This window comes from Homo sapiens, chromosome 8 (genome assembly GCF_000001405.40).
Source record: "Homo sapiens chromosome 8, GRCh38.p14 Primary Assembly".
NCBI lineage: Eukaryota > Metazoa > Chordata > Mammalia > Primates > Hominidae > Homo > Homo sapiens.
Window position 1 is genome coordinate 78,525,652 of NC_000008.11, and position 7,812 is coordinate 78,533,463.

At 33.2% G+C, this 7,812-nt stretch overlaps 1 protein-coding gene and 1 long non-coding RNA gene across 4 annotated transcripts in view; one reads left to right on the plus strand and one right to left on the minus strand.

The window, feature by feature from the left end:
* The window catches only part of LOC105375911 (uncharacterized), a 268,808-nt gene that overhangs the window by 128,480 nt on the left and 132,516 nt on the right, over positions 1 to 7,812 (minus strand). The window lies entirely within an intron of this gene.
* PKIA (cAMP-dependent protein kinase inhibitor alpha) overlaps positions 1 to 7,812 on the plus strand; it is an 88,928-nt gene that overhangs the window by 9,312 nt on the left and 71,804 nt on the right. The gene's annotated exons all lie outside the window — the stretch shown is intronic.

A 7,812-nucleotide genomic window follows, 5' to 3' on the forward strand; every position in this document is an offset into this window, starting at 1 on the left:
AAATGTCTGACTGTAAAGTTGTAACAATTTTATTCTTAGAGCTCTCAGGCAGCTTTTAATCATTTTCAAGTTCAATCAAAAAGCTCTAACCATTATCATGAATATATTCTGATCACTGGGCTTTCCTCCTCCCTTTTGCTATTTATTTTTAATTTATTTATTTGGGGACATTTTGGCTACCACTTATGTCTAGATCATGTTTTTCAGGAAATGAATGTGGGCTTTGAATCATACCTTTACCATTTACTAGCTGTGTGATTTATACGTTACTCAACCTCTGTGAGTTGTTTCCTGATATTTAAAACAGGAAAATCACCGAGTTGTGGTGAAGATGAAAGAAGATAACATAAAGGAGAACTCAGTGAAGTGTCTGAAATATACATGGTAAAGGTTAATGTTTTCCATTTTTATCATTTTTATTTCCACTGACAATTTACACAGCCAGACCTCATTACTACATCTTTTCCCAAATGTTCATGAATTATTTTTTCTACCCCTCCCCATGTAAGTTAAACTTAGCCTTGAAATGACCCTGAATCTCACTGGAAAATGTCTTAATGCAGACACTGCCAGTGTCAGGAGAGGTTGGGTCCACTGTAATGCGAGGTTGTTAGGCTCTGATCAGCAGTGGCTGTGGGAATTAAACCTAGCTTCTATATTTAACTCTTCAAGTAGTTGATTGGATCACCTGGCAAAAGTCAATTGGCTAGCAATCCTTCACCTTATTTTCTTTGAATTGTACCACATGTCTAATCACTCGTTTCACTGGCTCATTATCAGAAATGATATTACGGGCATTAAATAAGGGTGCTTATTTCAGAAGCAAAGTGCCATATAAAATAGGAATGTCAAAAGTCTTTGAAGATCCTATTTGGCTAACTCAAATAGTTGTTGTTTCCAATATGCAACTATTGGAGAAGTTTCATATTATTAAGTTGTCCAAAAACAAAAATTAAACTAACTCCATTGTAGGTCATACTTTTGTTGGTCTGTGATACATTTCTATTTTATTGAAGCCCGAAGAATTTACAGAGACCGTGCAAGCATTATTATTCAGGGACTTGTTTATTATTAGGTGCTACTGATTAGATGTGATGAATAGCAAAACTGTTAAACAAAATAAAAAAAAAAAATAGAGCCTCACTTACTGTGGAATCTTTACTAGGAGAAACACCAGCCTATAAAAGTTGCATTTTTAATGACATATTTACATTAGTATGATGACAATTTTTGTTGGGCTTGAAAAGCACACAATTTTACATTTTATTTTTCTTATATGGATTTCTGTTATTGATATGGGCCATTTGGGTTTTAAAAAACAAGTACAAAAACTGTGTAGGACCTTATATTTAATATGTAAATCACATTTATTTACAGGGGAGAATTTTGTGGTGAGCAAGAACTGCAGCCAAATTTGTGATAATTTATTGCAGTTGGTAGAGTCTCTTCATGTATTCCTGGGAACAGAATAACTTCACTCTTTCACGTAAAAAGTATAAATCATCAGTGTAAGTTTGTCTTAAATTTCCAAGCCAATATTGTTAATCCCTATTTAAATACTGAACTGATTGGCTGTTTACCAAAGGCTTGAGGGGTAAATTTGGGGCATAGTCTGAATTAAGATGAGATGTTGGAAACAATGAAAATACCTGCTTTAAACATGTATGTACATACAAGTATACACATATATTACACATATTTTATGTATATTATAAACTATAATTATGTATATGTGTATCTATGTATGTATTCATTAATATTTTCTTCCTATTTCAAATATTTGATTCCTTGAAAGTTGGATTTCATTTAAAATAAAGAGACAAGTGCTTGGAAAAGCATGTGAAAAATCTTTGTTTCCAGAGCCAAGTTTAACAAGGAAAACTTATTTTTTCACTGGCAGTTTGTTTTTCAAAGTTATGAGAATATGTTTAAGATTTTAAAGTGATTTATTTAATAAATGAGTATGAATATGAATTTACCTATTTCAGATTGCTTTATATGTCATATTAATTTTTAAGTATATATTTATCTGTTTAAGCTTTTCTGAACTAGATCTTACCAGGTTATAACTACTGTCCAATTATATAAGAACAACAATATAGTTGCCTTTCAGCTTGAAAAATGCACCTGTTTCATTTTGTTATTTTTTTAACCCATAAGTTATTTGGCCTTCCATCAGCTTTTCTGTCTTGAGGAATACATTGTCCTATGCATAATAAATTATTTTGTACATCTATGTTTCATGCCATAATTTTTTAGTGTCTCACAAAGTTCTAACTTGGAAGGTACTCTTTTAAATCAAGTTTTTCAGAATATAGACTTGTTCTTTGTGAATTGTCAGATCTGTTTTTTAGGTATTTCTCCCATTTTGGAGAATGAGTAGAGAAAACTGTACCATGGGACATTTCAGTTCTTTTTCTATACTTACTGCTAATAACATGCCTTCTCTTAGTAAAGCTAGAAAGCTGAGAACTGCAGTTAAATAGCCCCAAGGTAGGACATAGGCGAAAAATACTAAAATTTGTTCAAGTACAGTAAGAGAACCAAATTTGGTCTGGCATTTAATTTAGTCTTCCTCACTACCCTAACCCAAGTAGTATACTAGTAACTAGACTTTTAAAAAACAGCCATTTGTTGATTAATGGTGCCTATTTTTGTTTCTGCTTCATTTTAACTTTGTTTCATAACACTATTATACAGAGGCTTATTTTAACAAATGCCATTAGTTGGATCATTGAGTTTTTCTTCCGCTTTATAACTGATTAGCTCTACAGTTCAAAAATGCTTAAAGGCCAGACCTGTCAATTAGAAGATATAAGCACAATAGAAGTGATGTTTCTAAAATTAACTCTGGAATACATCTCTCTTAATGTTAAATACATATAATCTGGGACTGGGTGCAGTGGTTCATGCCAGTAATCTCAGTGATTCAGGAGGCTGAGGCAGGAGGGTCATTAAGGCCACAAGTTCAAGACCAGCCTGGCCAACATAGTGAGACCCTGTCTCTAAAAAAAAAAAAAAAAAAAATTACAAGTCCAGGCATGGTGGCTCATGCCTGTAATCTCAGCACTTTGGGTGGCCAAGGTGGGGGGATCACCTGAGGCCAAGAGTTAGAGAACAGCTGGTACTGTAGCGAGACCTCGTCTATAAAAAAAAAAAATTCCTTCTGGATCATTTCTAGAACACAAATATTTGTGACATTTCTTTAGTGTTTTCATTTTTATTAAGTGTTATATACTCATATTTCATATAAACTTTGTATTAATTTTAATACTAGTTTAGAAATTTTAATTTAGTATAAATACATCAACTAATGTTGAAATTGCTAAAACTTTAGGGTCAAAATTAATTTAAAGGTTACTGGAGTTACTGTTCTGGTTTCTAGTAATTGGTGTCTCCAATAAATGCATCAGAAAGACAAAAATAGCCATGGTTCAGAGTGTCTGCCCTATTAATAACATACCATGATATAGCTTACAGATATGGATATTAACAAAATGATTTATTTTAGAACATCATTTATAGCCTATAAAATGATTTGCCAACTGACAGGCAACCTTTGACAATAAAATATACCTGCTACTTCCTTTTTTTGCAAATTCATTGTACCACATCAGTGTTATCTCAATAGTGTGATCAACAGATGACTAGTAATGCTCATTCTCTGTAATTCACATTTTACCAATTACTAACAAAATATGGAGTGGGCAACAATTCTATAGTATTTAATCAGATTTTCCTTTAAACTGAAGTATGATCTATATTCCTATAATGCTTTTATATCTACCACTTCACTTAAGTAAAAGAAAGTTTTCTAGAGTTTCTATGTCAGTTTTCAAGTGGATCAGTCTTTTTTAAACATTTTTACTTAAAAATTAAAAATACTAATTTGTGCATGCTTAAATATAAATATTGAAATAGTCTGAAATATATGAAATGATCAAACAAACAAAAGTATGGGAATATCCTTTAAGACATACAAACTTTGAATATATTTAGATTATTTAAGCTAAACTTTATTCATTTACATAACAGGTCACAGGTGTTGCCTTTACTATTAAATAAGATTCTTAGAGTAGAAAATAACATATAATTTTTTTTGTAAAATGTTAAGTGCAAAGACCAGAGCATTAAACAATAAATGATGCATACATGGAGGAAAATATTAAAAGGAAATTTAAAATGTAAAAGTCAATTATCAATGGTTAAATCAAGAAGCAGAGAGTCAGTGAGATCACGTTATTTCCAAATTTATTCAATGTGTATATATTACTTGTAGAACTGCGTAAAAAGAAATTCATGTTTGGATGTTCTTTACCATCTAAACATTGCTGAGAGTGTGGTTGAAATGTTCACTTTTTAGTAGATTTCTGGAAAATCTAGGCTGGCCTTGAAAATATTAAATATAGTAGAAGAAGGTAAGTTTTCCCTCATCCTAAAATTATGATAATAAATTATATTTTTAAATTATCACATAATTTTCAAAGCATTTTTATAGTCATTGTCTTATTGGACAATACCAACTCTCTAAAGTTGGCAGAACTAGAATTGTCCTTATTTTGCAGACAATGAATTCAAAGTTCATGAAATGTAGTAATTTGCTCTCTTAATCAGTATACACAATTACTAAGTGTTAGAGCAAGAATTCAAGCCTGTTTTGTGCCATGGCCAATCTAGTGCTGCCCTCTATCCTATAGGAACTGGTATGTTTAAGAGTTAAGCATAAACATGGAAATATGCCTGGTCTGCTTCTAGTTATAAATTCACTTACAAACCTCACTGGATCCTGAACTAGGAAAATCTGTAAGGGTTATTTACTTTCATCAACCCAAAGATGAACATGTTAAACAGGTTCTTAGATTTAATTAAACTTTTTTTTTTCCACCATATCTTTGTGTCTATCAGCAGCTCCTCTTGAGTATACCATGGCTTCATTTAAAGAGTTGCATTGCTTAAAAAATAAACATTGACATTGCTGATCATTTACCTGTGTTAAATATGCCAGTCTAGTTTGCATTGACATAATGCTGACATGAGATTGTATCATTTGATTATACACACACACATTTACTAGTTCTAATTTAAGTAGTAAGTTTTGGTCCTTACTAGAACATGATTTATATAATTGGCAACCTAATGGTAAGATGCAGTAATATAATCTATCATGTTAAAAGATAACTGAAATTCACAGAATTCTCTCCTATAACTGCATTAGGAAGTTTTAATGGATTTCTACTAAGCTTCTCTTAAGGATAAAATTTTTTGAAAACAGGTCACTTGTAAGATCTGCCTTAGTTTGTTAATGCTTCTGAAATATCACCACTATAACCTGCTTTTTAAAATAGCCTGACACCTACTAAGTACCCTTTCGCCGCCTACAAGAAAGCATTTATATTTTTAATTTTAGTGAAGAGTTCCTGATTTAAGAATTAGTCATTTGCTGTCATTTGAATTTCAAGTATGTTGTAAGTACTTGAGGTTCTTTCTGTATGAATTTTCAGCGGAGTTTTTACATTTTTCATCATTAATTTCATCTTTCACTTGGGATCAGCCAAATCAAAAAGTTTATGTTCTACCCTTTCTTAGTTCTCTTCATTGCAAACATTCAGAACCTTCTCAAAAATAATATCATGGCTTGAGACTGTTTATTGACAACCGATAATGCCAGAAATTAGTGATTATGGTTTTCAGTTTAAAAAGCAAAATGAGAAACTGAAGAAATGGCGTTTTTCCTCCATTTAGCTGATCAGCTATTCACATCAGTGATCATTCGCTTTTGAGGCTAAGGATACAAATGTTAATGTTTTGTATATTCATAGAAGTGAAAAATAATATAACAGTTATTGTGCTTAGTCTGTGCTAAGCACTATTCTAAAACCAAATGAATTTCTCCTAACAGCAGCCCTAAAAGGTAGGCATTATTATTACCTTTTTGACAGATGGGCAAATTGAGGCACAGAACAATTGAGTAAAGTACCTGTAGTCACACAGCTAATAAAGCACACAGATAGGATTTAAACACCAGGTGGTCTGTTTTGAGACTCCACACTCCACCCCTATAGTTAATATAAGGGTTTGGATCCCTACTCTTTGTTGTATGGCCATTTAATTGCTTTGTGGAAAGAAAGGGAAGGAGGAGAGAGAGGGAAGAAGGCAGGAGAGATGGCAAATTCCTGCTAGCTGGTTGACATGGTGTGCTATAATTTATAATGAAGTTCAATTTAAGGACTTGTAAAGATTTCAATAGAATAGTCTTAAATGTTCACTAATGAAGTATGTGGTAATATCAGATGGAGATAGCAAGTGAATTTCAATTTAGTAATAACCATAATTGTAATTCAATAGCAGTCTCATATTTGGAACAAATAAAATTCAAGTAACTTTTTAACTTTTAAGTTCAGGGGTACATGTGCAGGTTTGTTATATAGGTAAACTTGTGTCATGGGGGTTTGTTGTACAAATTATTTCATCACCCAGGTATTAAGCCTAGTACCTATTAGTTATTTTTCCAATTTGAGTAATTTTCACAGCAATAATTCTACCTTTTCTTAAAATTATTAGGTATTTTTTCACCCCAACACTCAAAGCTTATTTAATATTAATAAAATTTTACCTTTTATAAAAGTCCATAAATTTTAGTAAGGTTGTAAATTAGGCTGAAATTACAAAACAAACAAACAAACAAATTTAGAGCTTTTAGCCAAAGGAAAGCACCCTCATCCCACTCCAGCTCACCCCTGCTCATTTCTATCATAACTGCTTCCCTAAGAAAGAAGAAATTTTTCTAGGCGGAGCTTGCAGTGAGCTGAGATTGTGCCACTGCACTCCAGCCTGGGTGACAGAGCAAGACTCCATCTCAAAAAAAAAAAAAAAAGGAAGAAATTTTTCTGATTGGTCAGATTTAATTGAACATTCACTGAGCCATATTTTACTATTGCATCGGGTCACTGTGTATTTAAAGATACAAAGCAGGCTGGACGCAGTGGCTCACACCTATGTAATCCCAGCACTTTGGGAGGCTAAGGCAGGCAGATCACTTAAGACCAGGAGATCAAGACCAGCCTGGCCAACGTGGTGGTATCCCTTCTCTACTAAAAATATTAAATACAAAAAATTAGCCAGGCATGATAGGGTGTGCCTGTAATCCCAGCTACTTGGGAGGCTGAGGCATGAGAACCACTTGAACCCGACAGGTAGAGGTTGCAGTGAGCTGAGATGGCACCACTGCACTCCTGGGTGACAGAGCAACAGAGCGACTCTGTCTCAGAAAAAATAAAAATAAAAAAAATACAAAGCAATGGTGCCCACATTCTTATTTGTCCAGCGCCTGGTCTTGTGAGAGCAAGTGCAGTGAGTATCCTTGAAGCCTAGACCTTCAAGGTCCTCTCCTCTCTTTCATTCCGTGCACCAGGGTGGGCTTCATCTAGGAGAACAATGGACTCATTTCTGTCTTTTGCCTGTTGGTCCTTGCAGATGAGTCAGGTTTCATTTGGAGCCCAGAAAATCTTACATGCCCTCTTCTCAACATCTTCCTTTACACATGTCTCAGTAAATATTAACATGCTCTAAATATGCCCTTGCCATAACTCTGAACTCAGGATTACCAGAAAGTAATTCCAAAGCTGAGACATTTTCCATATCTTAATCAGCAGATAATTTGTACTTACATTAACACTGACTTGATTATTCACATGTTCGTTTGCAGTTTGAATCTATTTCTGTCTTCAAGTACTTAAAATAGATATAGATTTTAATCAAGATACTTTAGGACTTTTATTACATATTTATTATGTACCTTATTTCAGGCATTTA